We start from the raw sequence: 22169 nt of genomic DNA on the forward strand, positions 1-22169 counted from the left end.
TGCTCAACACGTGATTTCAGGAAGCCATTACCAAGCAATAGAGGTTGGCATGACAAGTGAAATCTATTTGCCATCTCCTAAATAAGTAGTCTATAAAGCCCTTCCTGCACTAAAATTCAGTGAGCTCTTTAGCCTGTGGTCATATTAGGTCCCTAACAGCTAGGGAGCAGATCTCCTCATTCATTGACATTACCACATAGATGCCAAACCCTCTCTGGAAAACAGAAGAGAAAGCAAAATTTTTTTGATTAATTTTTTTTTAAGATGCAGGGTCTCACTCTGTCACCTAGGTTGGAGTGCAATGGTGTGATCTGATCATAGCTTACTACAGCCTCCCCTCCTGGGCTCAAGTGATCCTCCCTCCTCAGCCTCCCAAGTACTTGGGACTACAGGTGCATGGCACCACTCCTGGCTAATTTTTATGTGTTTATTTATTTATTCTTTTGTAGAGACAGGGTCTGTGTTGCCCAAGCTGGTCTTGAGCTCCTGGGCTCAAGTGATCCTACTGCCTTGGCCTTCCAAAGCACTAGGATTACAGGTATGAGCCACCATGCCTGGCTGGGATGCTTTAAACACTGATGGTTCATGGAAGATTTGGAAGTTGCAACTCTCCCTTTGCAACTTATAGTAGGTCCTTCAGTGGTTTGTCAGTAAGACTAAATCAAATCATTCTTAAGGAAGAAAAATGCTAATGCAGTGCTGAAGGGGAAGAAAAGGAATTGAAACCCAGAGCCTGTCCTGTTCCTACTCTGGTATAGCAGTTGTATTAAACTGAATCTAGATTATGTGTAGTTTAATGAGATGGGAAAGCAAAAAACTTAGTGCCTGGTTATAACTAACTTGCTGTCACATAGTAGTTCTCTTTTGAAGAAATTTGGAGAGTATTAAGATAATGCGTATGAAGCATCAAGACTTCCTTGGTGAGGTTTTAAGTGTTCATGACCATATTTTAGACAATGTATTGGACAGCAGTAATGGCTTAGGCCAGTCCGTAGTCACCAAAATCATTGTGAGCTGGTAGGCTATGCAGGCAGAAGCTGTGTGGGCTGCTCCAGGCCTGCCTGTCTCTAAGAGGCTTGACAGAGGATGCCAGGCTGCTTTCTGGGTGGTTAAGATCAGACTGTGTATGCACTGGTGTGGTTTTCTCTTGTTTTAATCAACAGTACATTCTTTTGCAAGGAAAAGACAAACTGAGGCTCATTTTGGAATGCTCTGATTTCAGAGCAAGGACAGGCAGAGATACTTTTCCATTTTGGAAGTCTCAACTGAATATTGGATATGGGGTGAGGAAAAGCAGGAAGAAAAACCCATATAGGTTAGACAAAATATTAGATTAGCCAAGTATTTTTAAAGTATTTTCTAAAAATTAGATAAGATTTAGAGCTTACCCCCACCCCATTAATTGTATACTTTTGTCTAGTGATGCGTATGTAAAAATCATACTTAAGCTGAAATCACTTCTGGCTTACTGTTGTTCTTTATTTTCTGCATCTTTTTGGATGTCATATAAAAAGAGGCCCCCCAAATCATCATTTGCTTGTTATTTGGGAATGCGAAAGTAATTGAATTCTCTGGAGGGATGAGTGGTGGTTGAGGCTGAAATAGCAAGTTGGGAATGAATGCAACTTTTCAGTAGATACTATAATCCTTTGTCAAAGGGAGTGCTGGGGTGATGGAAATGAAACTGCAAGTGCTGACCTTGAATTTCTGGTAACATTGAGTGCTTGTCTCTTCCCAGCCCATGTGATCTATGGACTTGCCCAAATAGCTTCTTGCTGGTACTGTATCCTCTGTTTTCTAAAGGCACCTTAGGGACTTCAAAAGGCACACTTTTGCTTTAAAATGCATCGTATTTTAATGTTAACTCGATGGTAAACTTATATAATATTGGCTGTTAGACACTGAATAAGCTTAAAATGGAAAAGTGACACTTTCTCGACCTGCATTCATCTTACTCCTTGTAATTGCATTCATTTTTTTTCAACTTTAATTCAGAAATCTTAAGTAGTTGGCCTTTATTATTATTTTCAGTTTACGGCATTATTGGTACCAGAAGGATTGTGGTTTATTTTAAGTATATGATTCATTTAATCTGATGGGACTCAGGCTTGGACTGTCTGCTTTCCAGCCCACTTTGCCTCCAAGATCAATGCAACCTCAAAGAAGGAAAGTTTTAAGTTTTTTAATGGTGTTTATGATTGATGTACCTTGTTGATATTAATAACTGTATCTGCTACATTATAGCTTTGATTAATCACAGTCTTCAAGTAAACTGACTTGCTGACATATTCCACTTTAGAGAAAAAAATATCAAAACACAGGAAAATCAAATGCTATTAGGACTTTTGTTTAAGAGCAATTTCGCAGGGAGAACATCCTTGGGACTTGTTTAAGAAGCAACTTCCCAAAAGCCTAGGAAGTTTTGTTTAAGAGCAAAACTTAAAGGGGAAACTTAGTTTTGGTTAAGAGCAAAACTTAAAGGGGAAACTTAACTTCCCCTTTAAGTTTTGCTCTTAACCAAAACTTCCTAGGCTTACCATAGACACAGTCCTATCTTCTTCGCATTGGTATCTCTATTAGCCAAACTTTATATGGAAAGAGATAAAGGACCTGGACAAAATTATGTTCACTTACACATTTAGGAAAGTGGACTAATACATTGGTAGAATGATTTCCAATAAACGAGGTTGAAACAGAAAGCATTTCCTGAATAGCATAAAAGTTTAGGGTGTGGGCTCTGGAGCCAGACTACCTGGGCACAGATTCTGGCTCCACCACTTCCTGTCTGGATTTTGGGCAAGGGACTTCACCTGTTTCCTCATCTGTACAATAGCTAAAAATAGTAGATTCCATTTCATAGAGTTGAGAGGAGTAAATGTTTTATTTATTTAAGTCACATGCAATGACCTTAGAACCATGTGTAGTAGAGAGTAAGTGCTCAATATATGTAAGTCATTTTAGTAATTATCACTGGCAACTGGATAAAGAACAGTAACAGTGAAGAAGAAATGCTATATCTCTGGTTTCTGGCTTGAGCACCTGGGTGCAGCCATTTACTGAGATAGGAACAAGAAGCACAGGACAGAAGTAGGGTTAGTGGAAGAAGCTTGATTCTCTTTTGGTAGTGTTCATTTGAGGTATCTTTGTTACAGCTAAGCAGAGTTATCAAGTGGGCATCAAATATACCCCATTCCAGATATAACAAAATTTTGTGGAATATTATTCAACCTTAAAAAGGAAGAAAATTGGCCAGGCGCGGTGGCTGAGGCATGTAATCCCAGCACTTTGGGAGGCCGAGGCGGGCGGATCACGAGGTCAGGAGTTCAAGACCAGCCTGACCAACATGATGAAACCCTGTCTCTACTAAAAATACAAAAATTAGCTGGGCGTGGTGGTGTATGCCTGAAATCCCAGCTACTTGGGAGGCTGAGGCAGGAGAATCACTTGAACCTGGGAGGTGGAGGTTGCAGTGAGCTGAGATTGGGCCTCTGCACTCCAGCCTGGGCGACAGAGCAAGATTCTGTCTAAAAAAAAAGGGGGGGAAGAAAATTGACCAGGCATGGTGGCTTAAACCTGTAATCCCAGCACTTTGGGAGGCTGAGGTGGGTGGATCACCTGAGGTCAGGAGTTCGAGACCAGCCTAACTGATATGGTGAAACCCCTTCTCTACTAAAAATACAAAAATTAGCCAGGCATGGTGGTGGGCGCCTGTAGTCCCAGCTACTCGGGAAGCTGAGACAGGAGAATTGCTTGCACGTGGGAGGCAGAGATTGCAGTGAGCCAAGATCGTGCCACTGCACTCCAGCCTGAGTGACAAAGCAATACTCTTTATCAAAAAAAAAAAAAAAAAAAAAAGGAAATTCTGGCACATGCTATGACATGGATGACCCTTGGGGATATTATGCTAAGCAAAATAAGCCAGTCACAAAAGGAAAGCACTGTATGATTCCACTTATATAACGGACCTAGAGTAGTGTTCTCTGAATTCATAGAGACGGAAAGTAGAATGGCGGTTGCCAGGGGATTGGGAAGAGGGAGCCATGGGGAGTTGTTTAATGGATACAGAGTTTCAGTTTTGCAAGATGAAAAGAGTTCTGGAGATCGGTTGCACAACACTGTGAATTGATTTAACACTACTGAACTGTACACTTAAAATGGTAAGATGGTAAATTTTATGTTAGGTATTTTACTTTATTTTTATTTTTTGAGACAGAGTCTCGCTCTGTTGCCTAGGCTGGAGTGCAGTGTCGCGATCTCGACTCACTGCAACCTCCGCCTCCTGGGTTCAAGTGATTTTCCTGCCTCAGCCTCCCGAGTAGCTGGGATTACAGGTGCGTACCGCCACACCCAGCTTTCTTTTTTTTTTTTTTTTTTTTTTTTTGAGATGGAGTCTCGCTCTGTCCCCCAGGCTGGAGTGCAGTGCTGCGATCTCGGCTCACTGCGAGCTCCGCCTCCCGGGTTCACGCCATTCTCCTGCTTCAGCCTCCGAAGTAGCTGGGACTATAGGCGCCTGCTACCGCGCCCGGCTAATTTTTTTGTATTTTTAGTACAGATGGGGTTTCACCGTGTTAGCCAGGATGGTCTCGATCTGCTGACCTCGTGATCCGCCTGTCTCGGCCTCCCAAAGTGCTGGGATTACAGGCGTGAGCCACCGCACCTGGCCGCTATTTTGTATTTTTAAGAGATGGGGTTTCACCATGTTGGCCAGGCTGGTCTTCAACTCCTGACCTCATGAGATCCACCTGCCTTGGCCTCCCAAAGTGCTGGGATTACAGGCGTGAGCCACCCGACCCGGCCTGGATTTTTTTAAAGTGTGAGCAGAAAATAACATGTTAAGTCACAAGGTGATAAGTAGTACTATGGAAAACAAAGAAAAAGTAGAGCAGAGTTAGGTGTTGTGGAATGCCAGGGAGAGTAGAAATGCGGTATTAAATCAATAGGGTGGTTGGGAAGCCTCCTTGAAGAGGTGAGATTTGAGCAAAGACTGGAAGGAGTTGTTTGTCTCTTGGCTACTATTAAAATCTGTGTCTAAATCTGCCAGGGTCCACCCGTGGTATGGCAATGCTCAGTCAATAATCAAGCTGTGTATATCTTTTAAAGTACATATTCGTGGGCAGCTGTGGACGTGGACATTTCAACTCATTTGGAAAAACAATCCAGGCAGTCAGGTAGCACTTCACAGATTATAATCAGATATCATCTGAGACTTGAGGTTATGTTACAGTAAGGACAAATGGTTATTCTTATATGTGGCCTTTTCTAAAATCAACCTATAACCTAGAAACAAACACCAAGGGTTTGATTTCTTTAGTTATTCCAAAATTTGCATGTTGTTGTTTGTCCTGAGAAGTTGTGGTGCCTTGGGAGCTGAGAAAACGTACATTTTTCAATATGAGTTTTAAACGCCTTCATTAAGACTAGGATTTTCCAGGCTTCAACTGACCTTCCTGTCAACTTAAAGAGGGCAGCTTAAAAATCCTTACTTCATGTATTCTTTATTTGATGGATCATATGGCATGGAATGGTGAGCTGCTTATAAAAATCCTGTGACCTGGACATGTTTTATTACAAATTTATGAGGCTGGTATAAACAGGTATCAACTTGCTATCATTTAAGCCAATACTTTGTACTCACGAACAAACTGAAAGAGGTTTGCATCCTTGGATACTTGAACTGATTTTTCCACATATAATTTCTTAACCTCATTTTTCTAGGTCTAATAAAAAGAAGTATACTGAGCATAAATCTCTACTTTGGAACAGGAAAAAATCTCCCCCACCCTCCTCCTCCCACTGAACTTTGTGGGGAAATTAATATCTATGGATGGACAGGCACCTTTGCTTTTCCCCAATCCTGTCTTCTGGTCAAGAATTCTAAAGCTACAACACTAGCAGCAACTCAGAACACACATGGCTGTTTGTAACTCTCTTGCCAGGCCACATTTATAGAATAATTGCTAAGGTGACAGGAACTAGGTGGGGGAAGAGGAAACGGATTCTCTCTCTAAGTCCTTTCTACACTAATGGCAACAAGCATTGGTGGATTCAAAAAGCACAGCAATGGCTGGGTGCGGTGGCTCGGGCCTGTAGGCCCTATACTTTGGGAGGCCAAGGCGGGTGGAATGATTGAGCCCAGGAGTTCAAGATCAGCCTGGTCAACATGGTGAAACCCCAGCTCTACAAAAAGTATAAAAATTAGTCAGGTGTGGTGGTAAGTGCCTGTAGTCTCAACTACTCAGGAGGCTGAGGTGGGAGAATAGCTTGAGCCCAGAGGTTGAGGCTGCAGTGAGCTATGACTGTGCCACTGCACTCCAGCCTGGGTGAGATCTTATCTCAAAAGAAAAGAAAAAAAGCACAGCACCAATCTCAGAAATTGCCCCCTACTCCAATTTTTGTTAACATTCTTATCCACCCAATGTTTGATTTCTTTTAGTTCTGAACACAATTCTTATAAAATTACTGGCATAAATGTAATATTTTGGGTGATTTAACAAGAAAGGAGGAGAAATATTTTCCTTTATCTTTATGCATACACAGCTCTCTATGGGCATTTAGCCTCAGCTGGTTGTTGAGCTCAGGGTATACCCTAAACATTTAGTTTCTCCCACATACATTAGAGAGCCCCATGAAAATACATAAATAATAACACATGAGAATGTAGCAGCCATTAGGTGTATATTATTGTCATAAGATATATATCATTAGATAATGATAGCAGTACTTGGTAGCAAAAGGAGAGTTTAGTGGATTCAACAGATGTTTGTTGAGGGGCCACTCTGGCAAAAATCTGTGCTAGGGTCTAAGCAGGGAGGTACCATACAACACAATACTTGCCCATAAGAAACTTATGGCCTACTTGGGAATACTCAGGTAACTACAGAACAAGGTTGTATATGGTAGCATCATTTAAGTGATACAAACTGGAGGATGCAGGAGAATGGATGGAAGAAGATATTGCTTTGACCAGGTGAGTTGGAAGTCATGGAAGAATTGGCATGTGAGAAGTGCCTTCAGGGACAGATAAGGTTTTCTGACAGGAAGCTATTCCAGGTAAAGGCAACAACCTGGGCAAAAGTCTATAAAGGAATCCCCTTCTAGTCATATACATATCCAATAAGACATGGGCAAGACTAGACTGCAGCCTAGGGTGTCGGAGCAAATCACTAGAAACAACCTCCATGTCCATCCACAGGAGGATGAACTAAAGAATTGTGGTATATTCATACAGTGGAAGTAGTCAGCAAAGAAAATGAGTCAACTAGAGAATAGCAACTAATGTGGAAAAACACAAACGTAGATTAAATGAAAGAAGAATGTTAGGTACAAAATTTGTATCAAGGTTAAAAATATCCAAAAAAATCTTATTTATAAATTTCATGTGGTTTTATTGTATCATTATATGTAGATATAACTATAATTTCAAAATGTTTTCATGTGAAAACAGTGGGAATGAAAACCACCCACAATGCATAGAGACTGCCAGTGGGGAGGGTGGGAAGGGAATGGGTAGACATAGGAAGCTACGTTTCAGTTGAATCCATTTTTTTTTAAGACAGGGTCTCACTCTGTCACCCAGACTAGAATGCGGTGTCACTATCATGGCTCACTGCAGCCTCAATCTCCCAGGAGCAAGCAGTCCTCCCCCTTAGCTGGGGCCACAGGCACATACTACCATGCTCAGCTAATTTTCTAAAAGTTATTTTGTAGAAACAGGATCTCCCTATGTTGCCCAGGCTGGTCTCAAACTCCTGGGTTCAAGTGATCAGCCTCCCAAAGTGTTGGGATTATTGGTGTGAGCCACTATGCCCAGGTAATTGTATCTGCTTTAGAGAGAAGAGGACAAACAGATAGATACACTAATATATTTATAGACACATATAAACACATATACTATGTACATATCTATTTTAAGATCTAAAGTAGACATCACGTTAACGTGATAAATGTTACGTTATTCTCTACACTCTTCTACATACTTGAAATATTTCATAATATAAAAATGAAGGAGAAAGTCACAGTTCAGGTTTAGGAATAGCAAATGGTATAGAACAGTGATTCTCAAACCTTAACATGACCCTTGGCAAGAAATACATTTTATTTTAGAAACCAGGAATTCGGCCGGGCGCGGTGGCTCACGCCTGTAATCCCAGCACTTTGGGAGGCCGAGGCGGGCGGATCACGAGGTCAGGAGATCGAGACCATCCCGGCTAAAACGGTGAAACCCCGTCTCTACTAAAAATACAAAAAATTAGCCGGGCGTGGTGGCGGGCGCCTGTAGTCCCAGCTACTTGGGAGGCTGAGGCAGGAGAATGGCGTGAATCCGGGAGGCGGAGCTTGCAGTGAGCCGAGATCCCGCCACTGCACTCCAGCCTGGGCGACAGAGCGAGAGTCCGTCTCAAAAAAAAAAAAAAAAACCAGGAATTCCATGACAGTACTTATCCTTAATATACTGGATGTACTCTAACATGTTAATATTTGCTCTTTTATTCTGCATGATATCAAGCAGTGGTTGATGCTTACAGATGCAGATAAAGGCTAGGTCCTGGAAGGCTTTGACGGTCAGGCTCAGGAATGTAAGCTTTAGTTGGCAAAGAGGAAAGGCCCACTGGTGGCTTTGGGGCATGTTATGTGAGCTAAACTTTAGCTAAATCAAAAAAGGTGGAACTGAGGCCAGAGATTGGATGATCCAAAATCAGTCAGGAGGTTATCACCATTAGTGTAACTGGAACAGGGTATGGGTCTGCAGGGGAAGTGAAAAAAAGGGACAGGTTTTGCATTTGCTGTGATTAAAAATAATACAGATAATATGGATTTGATGACTGGGGTTTCAGGGAAGCGGGAGGGAAATGAGACAAATTTCACTCTTGATTTCAAGGCTTGATGCCTGAGAGATTGGTTACATCAATAACAACTATGTATATCAGGAGAAATTTGGTTTTAAACACTATGTTTAAGGTGCTGATGGGGACATCTACACATACGTAGTGAAGCCATGGCTGAGGTTAAAAGGAATGCATAATGGTTTCACAATGTACTATGGCTTTCTATAGCAGTACACAGTACCTGGTGAGGGAAAAAATGAAAGGTGTAATCAAGGTGGGGCCAGGCAGGCAGACCTAGCAAAGGTGTGGCGGGTGGAGGGTGAGGAGTGCTGGTTAGGGCAGAGTGAAATGGCTAGCACTGGGTTGGGTTTGTATTGGGATGGCAGTGAGTCCAAATGCAATGGGTCACTGAGAGAAGAAGAGTTGAGAGACTAGAGGTTATGAGACACCCAAAAAGTATCTTTAGCAGGTGTGATGAAATATTACAGGTGGAAGTTAGGAGTGTTGTAATCAAGGAGGAGGAATTTCAAACCTGAAATCTTGGAGCTAAAATAATTCTAAGTTAGAAAAAGAATACTATTCTGAAATTCATATGGAAACAAAGAGCCTAAATAGTGAAAGCAATCCTAAGCAAAAGGAACAAAGCCAGAGGCATCACATTACCCAACTTCAAAATACTACAAGGCTATAGTAACCAAAAGGCTACAGTAGCATGGTACTGGTACAAAAAAAGACACACAGACCAATGGAATAGAGAACCCAGAAATAAAGCTGCACGCCTACAATCAACTGATCTTTGATAAAGTTGACAAAAATAAACAATGGGGAAAGGATATCCTATTCAATAAATGGTGCTGGGAAAACTGGCCAACCATATGCAGAAGAATGAAACTGGTCTCCTACCTATCACCATATACAAAAATTAACTCACAATGGATTAAAGACTTAAATGTATGATATGGTTTGGCTGTGTCCCCACCCAATCTCATCTTGAATTGTAGCTCCTATAATGCCTACGTGTTGTGGGAGGGACCCGTTGGGAGATAATTGGATCATGGGGGCAGTGTCCCCCATACTGTTCTCGTGGTAGTGAATAAGTCTCACAAGATCTCATGGTTTTATTAGGGGAAACCCCTTTCACTTGAGAGGGGGAAACCCCTCTCATTCTCTCTCTACTGGCTGCCATATAAGACATCCCTTTTCTCTTCCATCGTCTTCTGCCATGATTGTGAGGCCTCTCCAGCCATGTGGAACTGTGAGTCAGTTAAACCTCTTTACTTTATAAATTACCTAGTCTCAGGTATGTCTTTGTCAGCAGCATGAAAATAGACTAATACAATGTAAGACCTCAAACTATAAACATCCTTCAAGAAAATCTAGGAAGTACCCTTCTCGACATAGGCCTTGGGGAAGATTTATAACTAAGTCCTCAAAAGCATCTGCAACAAAAACAAAAAATTGACAAGTGAGACCTAATTAAACTAAAGAGCTTCTGCAAAGCAAAAGGAAAACTATTGGCCATGCACCATGGCGTATGTCTGGAATTCTAGCACTTTGGGGGGCAAGGTGGGTAGATTGCCTGAGCCCAGGAGTTTGAGACCAGCCTGGGCAACATGGTGAAACCCCACTCTCTACAAAAAAATACAAAAAATTAGCTGGGCATCTGGTGTGCGCAGGTAGTCCCAGCTACTTGAGAGGCTGAAGTGGGAGGATCACCTGAGCCTGGAAAGGTTGAGGCTACAGTGAGCCATGATCACACCACTGCTCTCCAGTCTAGGTGACAGAGTGAGACCCTGTCTCAAAACAAAAAAGAAACTTTCAACAGAGGAAACAGACAACCTACAGAATGGGAGAAAATATTCATACATTATGCAGGGGTCTAATATCCAGCATCTATAAGGAACTTTAAATCACCAAGCAAAAAACAACTCAATTAAAAAGTGGGCAAAGGAAATGAGCAGACACTTCTCAAAAGAAGACAGACAAGTGGCCAAAAACATATGAAAAAATGCTCAACATCACTAATCATTAGAGAAATGCAAATCAAAACTACAACCAGATACTATCTCACACCAGTCAGAATGGCTATTATTTAAATTAAAAAAAAATAACAGGTGTTGGTGAGGCTGCAGAGGTTAGGGAACGTTTATACAGTGTTGGTGAGAATGTAAATTAATTTCAGCCACTGAAGAAAGCAGTTTGGAGATTTCTCAGAGAACCAAACACAACTACCATTTGACCTAGCAACCACATTACTGGGTATGTACTCAAAGGAAAACAAATTGTTCTACCAAAAAGACACATGTACTCATATGTTCATCACAGCACTATTCAAAAATAGCAAAGATCAACCTAGGAATGAACCTCAGTGCCCATCAACAGTGAATTGAATAAAGAAATTGTGGTATGTACACATAATGGAATACTGTGGAGCTGTAAAACAGAATTTGCAGCAACATTATCTTAAGTGAATTAATGCAGAAACAGAAAACCAAATACCACATGTTTTTACTTATAAGTAAGAGCTAAACATTGGGTATACATGGACATAGAGAAGGGAAAAATAGACACAGGACTACAAGAAGGGAGAAGGAGGGACCGGGGCAAGGTTGAAAAACTACCTGTTGGGTACTATGCTCACTACCTGGATGATGGACTCAGTCATACCGCAAACCTCAGCATCATGCAATATACTCTTGTAACAAACCTGCACATATACCTCCTGAATAGAAAAGAAAAGTTGAAAAATTTTTAAAATGAAGTAATTCTGAGTGATAAACAATCACAACCTTTGTAGATACTACAGGTTAGGCAGGTAGGTAATTGTAATATCATGGAGATGAAAGCTGTAGCTTTGTGATAGTTTACAATTACTGATCTGAACTGAGTAGATTGACTTTTCAAATGAAGCTCTTCTATGGAATAACTAATGATTTTTTTTTTTGAGACGGAGTCTCACTCTGTCACCCAGGCTGCAGTGCAGTGGCACAATCTTGGCTCACTTCTCTGCAACTGATTATTAATTACTACTTCTAATTACAGAAAAGGCCACACTGGGAAGTGGAGCAGGGTCTTCAGGGGTGCCCTTAGGAAAGAGCCCTGATGGGATGTCTTGGGAGAGAAGGCTCTGGATAGTGCTCCTGGGTCACTACAGTGAGCCAGGATTCCTAGTCCATCAGCAGCTCAGAGATGGACAAGCACTATCTTCTCATCTAATACTTCCTTTTCATTCACAGCTGATAGATGTTCTTTCACAAAGACGCAGTCAGTTGGCTGGACTCTTGGGACACGGGTCAGAATTATTGGGGTCTGCCCATACCTTATTGTTGATTTGGTTTAGGGCTTTGAATAGGTCACTTAAATTCAGTGTACCTCAGTTATTCTCACAATCAAGTAACACAAGCTAAAATCTTTGAAAAAATATTTTGAATAACTTCCTTATGCAACCCAATGAATTTCACAATTTAATATAAAGGAAGACACATGTATAGCCAGTTATAGCATAATGCTAAGAGGATGCTATAAACTGAAGTGTCTCCCCAAATTAATATGTTGAAATCCTAACCCCTAATGTAAGGATATTAGGGGGTGGGGCCGTTAGGAGGTGATCACCTAGATCAGGGATCCCCCAACCCCCAGTACCTGTCTGTGGCCTGTTAGGAACTGAGCTGCACAGCAGGAGGTGATCAGTGGGCGAGTAAGCAAAGCTTCATCAGTATTTACAGCCGCTCTGCTTTGCTGGCTTTACTGCCTGAGTTCCTGTCAGATCAGCAGCAGCATTAGATTTTCATAGGCGTGCCAATCCTATTGTGAACTGCACATGCAAAGGATCTAGGTTGTACTCTCCTTATGAAAATCTAATGCCTGATGATCTGTTACTGTCTGCCATCACCCCAGATGGGACCGTCTAGTTGCAGTAAAACAAGCTGAGGGCTCCCAGTGATTCTACATTATGGTGAGTTGTATAATTATTTCCTTATATATTATAATGTAAAAATAATAGAAATAGGCTGGATCCGGTAGCTCATGCCTGTAATCCCAGCGCCTTGGGAAGCCAAGGTGGGCGGGTCACTTGAGGTCAGGAGTTTGAGACCAGCCTGGCCAACATGGCGAAACCCCATCTCTACTAAAAATACAAAAATCAGCTAGGTGTGGTGGTGCATGCCTGTAATCCCAGCTACTTGGGTGGCTGAGGCACAAGAATGGCTTGAGCCTGGGAGGTGGAGGTTGCAGTGAGCTGAGTTGGCATCACTGCACTCCAGCCTGGGCAACAGAGCAAGACCCTGTGTCAGGAAAAAAAAAAAAAAGCAATAAATGTAATGGGTTTGAATCATCATGAAACCATACTCCTCAACCCCCAGCCCCCATACGTGGAAAAATTGTCTTCCATGAAATTGGTCCCTGGTGCTGAAAAGGTTGGGGACCACTGACCTAGATGAATGCCTAGATGAATGGTATTACTGCCTTTATAAAAGAAACTCAGGAGAGCTCCCTTGCCTCTTCTGCCATGTGAGGACATAACAAGAAGACAGTCATGTTTGAACCAGAAGTGGGCCCTCACTGGACACCAAATCTGCTGGTGCCTTCATCTTGGACTTTTGCAGCCTCTAGAAACTGTGAAAAATAGATTTCTGTTGTTTATAAGCCACCTAGTCTTTGATATTTCCTTACAGCACCCTGAATGGACAAAGACAGAGGGCTTAATAAGACATGATGAGTTCTACTTCAGGCTGTCGCTAAGCTTCACAGGGGAGGGGTTATATCTGAGCCTGAATTTGAGAGAGAAGTGGGTTTTGCCAGGCACAGCAGGCTACAATAACATTGGCGATGTCAAGTGTGTGGCTTGTTCAGGCAATCAGGACAGTCTGTTCTGCCTTTTGTATGCAACAAGAATAAAAACGAGTTCTAACAGTGCTCCAGTGTTATTTTACATTATGTTTCTCTGCCTGGCCCCTCCTTTTCCTAAGTCTTTGCTTAGGCATTCTTGGTCATAAAAATGACAAATGGTAGGAGATGATAGACCAAAAACAAGCTGATGGTTAGAAATTCAGCCAGCAATTTAAATATTGGTGCGGATACCTAGCAAGTGGATGAACCACACAAATAAATAAGATCCAACTCAAATGGTGTTTTCTTTTGAAAACCCACATTTTCGTTTTCTTAGATCTCACTGGTTTTTACCTTTAGAAGCAGGCAAAGGATAGTCATTCACTTTGTTTTTGAACAATGATCTATTGACACATTCTGGGGACATCTTTCCTCTGACTGTTTGCTGATAGAAATAAAGCATAGGTAAGCCAGTGTTCCTGTCTCCAGAGGCTTGCAATTCAATAAGCAGAAGAGAGAAGGCTCTCTACACACACAGTAGTGAAGTAATGGGCAAGCCTGATGTTCTCCTTACCAAAATATGTGGAATAGATAGATAAGGGTTGGGGGCGGGGGAGGAATCAAGATGGCCTGGAGAAGGCTTTGTGGTGATTTGGAATTGAACTAAGGCCTTGGAGATATCTAAGGAGAAATGAAGAATAAAGTGACTTGCTTGACTCTTTATAGCAAATAAAATTGCTGGGTCTTAGAACCACCAGGAGAGTGTACTGTTGTCACTGCAGAAGAGTTAATGTTTAATTGCTAGGGAACACAGCTTTCTTTATATGGTGCTCCAAACTCTAGCTCGATTTGTTATCTGATTTTCTGCTGTGGAAAGGGCATTTCCAAGATTGATTTCCTGCCAGTGGAAATGAGCAGCTCTCTTCACGTTCACCCGGGTTGGCCCGGGTCCCAGCTGGTTTGCAGATCAGTGATGAAGCTTCCTGCCGGTGAGAAGCTAGATCTAGTTGAGAGGTTGCCTGACTGAAGCCAAACCACACCTAACGAAGCCGATAGTTACACTCATGTAGAAAGTCCAGGGAGACACCTGTCCCTAGGCTTTAATTAGTGGGAGTTTCAGACAGCAAAGTTTACCTTTACTCAAACAAGAAGCCTCAGAAGAACATGATCTTCACACCTGAACTGTTGATTGCCTGGAGACTGCTCAGTGTGTTCTCCCAGTAAATTGTTCCCAGCTCCTCTGACTTCTCCCACTCGACAGATTAAACACAGATACTATTTATTCCATGTGGCAGATGCATTCTCTGTCTGTAATGATGCATTTTGAAACCAGTACTTTCTCAAGTGAGATTAGCTGAGATGTGGAAAGTATAGGAAGTGACAGAACAGACAGAAATTCTAGCTAGAGGGTTCTAGTTAGATAAAGAGAAAAAGGCACTCAGAGGAAATTTGCTCTGCTCATCTTTCCCAGGGCACAGCAACAAATTAAGGCTGTCTTTTCTTTCTCCTCTTAGGAATATTATAGGGCACCACAGAGGAAAAGATTCATAAGTGGAGAGCTCACTGAGCCCAGAAGGACACATCTTGCTGCCAGATCTGTGGCAAAAAGGTGTACCTTACTTTTTTTTTATAGGCACGGTTCAGCCGTACCACAAACCCACATGGTCAGGAAGTGACTCACGTATTAATGCCGTTTGAGTTTGTGTGCTGTGGGGAAGGTCTTTTGACAATATTGTGTATACTGGCTTTTCCAATCTAAGAGAACATCTTTGCTGCATTAACAGTAGATGTTACATATTTTTTTCCCTTTAAACCCCCCATGACCAATAGCTTACCCTATGGCAAGTATAGTTAGGTTACTCGTAATAATTAATTTGGTATGCTAACTAGTTGAGCTCACAGAAAAATGCAAGTATGGGTGTATTCCTTTATAATGCTGGGGTGTTTCTTGGGGAGGGTCTTAATATTTTACCAACTTAGGTTTTACCAATTTTTGCATATTTATGTCAAATATTCCTATTTGCAGAGTAGTACTAACTTTTGCTTTCCAATTACAAAAGTAGTAAATGTTTGTTGTTAAAAAGTACGATAATGATAGTATTTCCAGAAGAAAAGTAAAATTCCCCACAATCCCTTCATGGCAATAGCTATATTGTTTTGATTATATGCACTTCCATACTTCATCTGTACCATGTTTGTATGATTACAAAAATAGGGCTGGGCGGAACACATACTTTAAATTTGTTTTTTCCTTTACATGTCTTTGACTCATTTATTCATTCAAGAAATCTTTTTTGAGAATGTACAATGTGCTAGTCCATCACTTTTCTAAGTGCAGTGGAGACTACAGTGAAAAACCAATGGAGCTCACATATCATGTGTATCTTTGTATAACAATAAATGTAAATATGCTAGTTATTTTAATAAGTGCATAGTATTCTATTTTATAGATTTATCTTAATTTACACAATCAAATACTCCATTTTTGGATGTCGAAATTCTGTTTGTTAGGTTTTGTTAAATATAGGGAGGAAATATGCACTGACCATTGGTGAATCTGAATCGATGTTCAAATGATCTCTGCTAATAACAGGATTGCACTGGTAGTGCCATTCTTTCAAATATGACTTTACAAATAGTGATATGCTCCTTGGAAGATGTAGCTATAAAGATCAGTATGAGCCCAGAGTTCTCTCACTTAACGACTATGGAGATCCTGAGGCATGTGAGACTGTTTCCAACTCCACCTCTGGCTCAAAGGCTGCTTAAAGCACAGTTCCAGTCCTTATAAATGGACACCAAGTTGTCATTTTGGCTGCTATTCCTTTGCAGCCATTTATAATTATGCAGTGATGTGTGAAGCTGGGCTTCTGTGAATTCTGGAAGCATTTCTTTTGCCTTTGATAGGAATTGCTGCTCATTTGTCCTCTATCCAACAACCAGCAGGTCACTTTCCTACCATCTGTGTGAGTCCCACACACAGTGACATGAAGTGATGTCACAGGATCTGTTTGTTGGTGATTCCAGCATGCTGCTTGATGTTCAGTACAAAGCAAAACATAGCCCAGATGAATTACAGAATTTTACAGTATTAGAGCTTATATAGATTACACCCCCATCTTAAGGACAAGGGCACCAAGGCATAGAGAGGTTGAATAATTTGCTTAAAAATCACTTAGAGCACTTTGGGAGGCCTAGGCGGGCAGATTGCCTGAGCTCAGGAGTTCGAGACCAGCCTGGGCAACACGGTGAAACCCCGTCTCTACTAAAATGCAAAAAAAACTAGCTGGGTGTGGCAGTGTGCGCCCTTAGTCCCAACTACTCGGGAGGCTGAGGCGGGAGAATTGCTTGAACCCAGGAGGCGGAGGTTACAATGAGGCAAGATCGCGCCACTGCATTCCAGCCTGGGTGACAGAGCGAGACTCCATCTCAAAAAAAAAAAAAAAAGTGTCACATAGTGATAGAGCTAGAACTAAACATTGGGACTTCTAATTTCTTGCCCAGTGTTCTTTCCAGGGAATCAGCTATTCCAAGTTTGTGGTAGATTCACATAGCATCCTTGTAATAGGTCAGGAAACACTATTGCTTTGGAGTGCTTCTATTTGTCATCCAGATAAAATGTCTTCAGTACCAAACAATGCCAGTTTCCCAAATATGGAGCTTTTCTTTAATTCCCCACTTTGTTAATTTGGGAAAGGCTTTTTAGGTAGCTTGCTATATGCATAGCAGATTTAGTGATCTCATTGTCATTGTGCTTTCCATTAGTAGGCTGATAAATGACCTCAGGTTTATGATTGGAATGTCTCACTACACCAGTTCTGTAAAGCTAGCCACAACAAACCATGTGTCTCTTTAATATGAAAGAAGCCCATCAGATTTATGATCATATTTATCTGGGCTAATAGACCTATTTGGATTATTTGATAGATTCCACTCAGATTTTGTGGAAGTCACATTTTATTCTCTTAGGGAGTATTGGAATCTGATTTACAAGTAAACTCAGTGTCAAAGATCTGAGAAACTTTGCAGTACTGATTGTTTTTGTAAGGCCAACTGCAAGTTATTTTTGTTAATGAAGCAAAGCAGTATTGCAGCAGCATATTTGAAGTTGTATATCAAAAAATATTGGGGTTTAGTCATAGAGGGCATTTTTTGAGGCATAGTGGTTAAGAACGCAGACTTTAGAGTCAACTGCTTAGTCACCTCCTGGATCTATCACATACTGTGCAGCCTTGGACAAGTTATGTAATCTCTCTGTAACTGTTTCCTTATCTGTGAAATGGGAATGATAATAGTACTGGTGTCAGGTATTGTTGGGAAGTTTAAATAAGTTAATATTTTCAAAGCACCCAAAACACTGTCTGGTATGTGCTAAACATCATATAAGTGTTTGATACTATTATTCTGACACTTTCTCTCTCTTTTTTTTTTTTTTTTTTTTGAGACGGCGTCTTGCTCTGTTGTCCAGGCTGGAGTGCAGTGGCATAACCATGGCTCACTGTAGCCTCAATCTCCTGGGCTCAAGTGATCCTCCCACCTCAGCATCCTGAGTAATTGGGACTACAGGTGTGCGCCACCATGCCTGGCTAATTTTTAAATTTAGAGATAGAGTCTTGCTGTGTTGCCAAGGCTGGTCTTGAACTCCTGGGCTCAAGCTATCCTCCCCGTTCGGCTTCCCAAAGTGCTGGGATTACAGGTGTGAGCCACTGTACCTGGTCGATTTGGACACTTTCCATTCATTCATTCATTCGTTCATTCAGTGATTTCTTGGAATATCAATGTGATAGGCACAATGCTAATGATAAAAATATTCTCAGCCCTCAAAGGATCTTGCAGTTTAGTGGTCAGAGAGACATATAATGCAAACCATGTAGGCATACAGTAAGGAAAGTCCTATAATGAAGGACTTTAAGTGCAGTGGCAGTTAGGTGAAGGAGCACCTGAGGGGAAGCCTTCACAGGGACCATTTGAGATGGGACATGAAGCATGAGTAGGAGTTGGCCAGTGGACATCAGTGGTGTGGGCATTCCAGGCATGCATAGAAGCACAAAGTCCTGAGAGGATGGCAGAATAACTGGAACACAAAGTGTCAGAGTGGGAGATGCTTTGGGGACAGTTAAAGAGACGCACAGGTAGGGGACCAGGAAGGCCTCCTGTATCCTACAGAGGTTCCTGTGAGAGATAATAAGGACTCAAATTCAGACAGGGGCCAATGAGAGGGAACCCAGCAGATGGAGGAGTTGGCCAGGAGCAGTGAGTGCAGTGACACGGTTACACCTGTTTCTCAGGTGATAGGAGACGTGCCCAGGTGCTGCTCTGCTTATCGATATAGTTCCTCTCTGAAAGTTAAATGGTCTTTTATGGGTACTTCACGTATTTTTACTGTGTTTTCAGGGGATAACAACTATCACCAAAAACGTGTCATTTCATTGTTTTATTGAAAGTTACTGAAAAGGAAATGCATTTTAGGTAGTTTCCATCAGTCAGAACTACGAAAACAAAACCAAACCTTAAGAATACAGATGATCCCCAACTTAGGATGGTGTGAAAGTGATACACATTCAATAGAAACCATACTTTGCATTTGGGGTTTTGATTTTTTCCAAGGCTAGTGATAGGTGGTGAAATACTCTAGCAATTCTGGGCAGCAGCAGTAACCTGCAGCTCCCAGTCAGCCATGTGATCTCAAAACAACCAGTACCCTACGGTGTCCTCTGTTGCCAGATGACTTTCCCCACCTGTAGGCTAAGTGTGTGTTCTGAGCACATTTAAGGTAGTGTAGGCTAAGAGTGGTTACGTTCAGTAGATTAGGTGCATTAAATGCATTTTCAACTTAAGACGTTTTCAACTTAACAATGGGTTTACTGGGCTATAACCCATCATATGTCAAGGAACATCTGTATTTAGCTTAGTTCTGTGATTTACTTTTAAAAAGAACACCTAAATGCACAATTTTTGGCTAAAATGTCAGATTTTTAACCATGAACTTGGGATTTTTACCCCATTTTTCTCTTTCCATTAAAAAAAAAATTTGAAAGGCGCTTCTAAGATAAATTTTTAAGATTAGATCCCGGCCGGGCACAGTGACTGACGCCTGTAATCCCAACACTTTGGGAGGCTGAGGTGGGTAGATCACCTGAGGTCAGGAGTTTGAGACCAGCCTGACTAATATGGTAAAACTCTGTCTCTACTAAAAATTCAAAAAATTAGCTGGGCATAGTGGCATGCACCTGCAGTTTAGTCCCAGCTACTTGGGAGGCTGAGACAGGAGAATTGCTTGAACCCGGGAGGCGGAGGTTGCAGTGAGCCAAGATTGCGCCATTGCACTCCAGCCTGGGCGACACAGCGAGACTTCGTCTCAAAAAAAAAAAAAAAAAAAAAGATTAGATCCCTACATAATGCAAGGCATTATTCAACATTTTTTAACACTTTCTTATAAACATTAAGTGAATTCATGGTACATATACTCAGTAAATAGAACTTTTAATTCCAATTCCATTATAATCTGACTCTAATTAAAAATCCTTAAAGGAGATAGGGGAGTTCAAATATCCCACTGCTCTAGATGTGTCCAAATGAATGTCCTCCATGGGCACTTCAAACTCAACATTTTCAAACATGTCTTTCAGCCCAGACCTGACCCAGGGAGGCAGTATTATGATGATTCCCAGGAGTGTTACAAAACAAATAATATTCCTTTTTGATTTTAAAAAATTGCATTAAAATCAATTATAAGGTAGAAAATACGTGTGGATAGATTTATTTTTACTAAGTTATATCCTTCAGTGGGCTCTTTATTTGAAATATTACTAGGACTTTATGTACATGTTTTGCCTCTTGAAAGTACTATTCCATTACTGACCATTTTGTTATTATTCATTCTGTTTTCTTCCTAAAAAGTGGATAGACAGGAAATCACCTCCTCTCACCCACCCACCCTTTTTTATGAGGACAATGACACTGAGTAATTGATTGTCTTAGGCATAGCCACACACCTGAGTAGAGCAAATACTAATAGCCAGACTTCCTGACTCCCAAACCATTACTTCTTTTTTCCTTCACCTTTGCAGAAGAGAAAGAAATTGGTGCCATGAGCCTGGGCCTAAAGAACTGTTCATTCAGTAAATAATTATAAGGTGTCTTCTATATGCCAGATATTATTTTCAACATGGGGACTTCTGCACCTAACAGTCCCTGCCTTTAAAGGAGCTGGTGGCTAATGGGAAAGTAAGTGGAGTAAACAAACGAACCCAGCTCCATGAATGAAGAAAACTGGGAGAGGCAAGGCCAGAGTCTAATGAAGGCTGGAGAGAGCCCTAAGCCAGTCTGGGAGTTAAGAAAAGCTTCCTGGTGGAGCCGACTTCTAGTTAGAGTGTTGAAAATGACCCAGAGTTGCTGGGCTAGAGGGTACTGAGTTTGCATGCATGGGAGATAGAGTGTCAAGAACTCCCAGTATTAAGAGTATTAAGATCTGGGCCAACAAATTGGCCTTAGAGGTATGGGCTCTGGGAGAGGAGGCTGGAATAGGAAGGAAAACAGAGAAAGGATCTGTTTGAATAATTAGGGCTTAGAATTTGTATTGTAAACAAACAATGGTGAGCTGTTGAAGAATTTTGAGGAGGGAATGATAATCAGATTTCCATTTTTAAACTGTTGCCCTGAAGTGATTTGGAGAATGAAGTGAGGGTTGGGGATGTGAGTTAGGAGAGCCATTATTGATGATGAAAGGTCAGTTATGAGACTGCTATTGTCATCATTAACATAAGTTAATTTTGAAGACCTAAATTAAGGGAGAGCAGTAGAAATGGAAAGGGCAAATGGCTTCCAGAAATGTTGAGATAAAATCAGCAAACCTCGATTCTGATTAGATGTAGGGGACGAGTCAAGTCTGGGTTGAAGGAAATGTCTGGAGATGAGTCTGAAGTGCCCATGGGGGACATTCTTTTGGACACATCTAGAGAAGTTGGATATTTTAATTCAAACCTCAGAAAAGATCTGGTTGGAGGCAAATTTGGAAATCAGCGGATACAGGTGTAGCTGAAGCTAAGGGCCTGGGAGAAGTACCTGTCTGAGAGGCACTGTGGATGGTGAAAAGGGGGCAGATACCACAATTGACAGGGATGGTGGGAGAAGAAAGCCAAGGTGGGGCCAGAGAGGGTAGTGTCATTGTCACTTAAGCCAAGAGAGGAGGCATTGGTTAGCATTGGGAATCCTTGCAGAGCTCAGGAGAGATAAGCATTAAAACAGGGTAATAGTTTCACGGGAGAGAAATGACTCTCATTTCCTCTGTAACATCAAACCTAAACTTTCACTAATTCCACTGCACCTAGCCCACTCCCTTCCTCATTACTCCCCAGTAGCCCCTCTGCTCACAGACCTACCAGGAAGTCATACCATTCCTATGCTCTTATTTTGCCTCTTTGCTAGAATGCCCCAATTCTCACTTGTCTGAGCTCTATCCAGCCTTCTAGGGCTAACACAAGCCCACTTCCCCCCAACGCTGCCCCAGGATACTCCGAG

At 41.6% G+C, this 22169-nt stretch overlaps 1 protein-coding gene across 1 annotated transcript in view, besides 3 other annotated features; it reads left to right on the forward strand.

The window, feature by feature from the left end:
* The window catches only part of PAQR8 (progestin and adipoQ receptor family member 8), a 45627-nt gene that overhangs the window by 13113 nt on the left and 10345 nt on the right, over nucleotides 1–22169 (forward strand). The window lies entirely within an intron of this gene.
* Nucleotides 10922–11031: an enhancer, noted in NCBI's record as "active region_24676". NCBI's record gives its function as "activates an Ori minimal core promoter by ATAC-STARR-seq in GM12878 lymphoblastoid cells {active_cell/tissue: GM12878}" and the evidence as "EXISTENCE:reporter gene assay evidence [ECO:0000049][PMID:35858748]".
* Nucleotides 13667–16151: an enhancer, noted in NCBI's record as "VISTA enhancer hs2064". NCBI's record gives its function as "enhancer in: hindbrain (rhombencephalon)[5/8] | midbrain (mesencephalon)[5/8]" and the evidence as "EXISTENCE:transgenic organism evidence [ECO:0001131][PMID:17130149]".
* Nucleotides 14793–15002: an enhancer, noted in NCBI's record as "active region_24677". NCBI's record gives its function as "activates an Ori minimal core promoter by ATAC-STARR-seq in GM12878 lymphoblastoid cells {active_cell/tissue: GM12878}" and the evidence as "EXISTENCE:reporter gene assay evidence [ECO:0000049][PMID:35858748]".

This window comes from Homo sapiens, chromosome 6, assembly GCF_000001405.40.
Source record: "Homo sapiens chromosome 6, GRCh38.p14 Primary Assembly".
In the NCBI taxonomy this organism is placed as follows: Eukaryota; Metazoa; Chordata; class Mammalia; order Primates; family Hominidae; genus Homo; species Homo sapiens.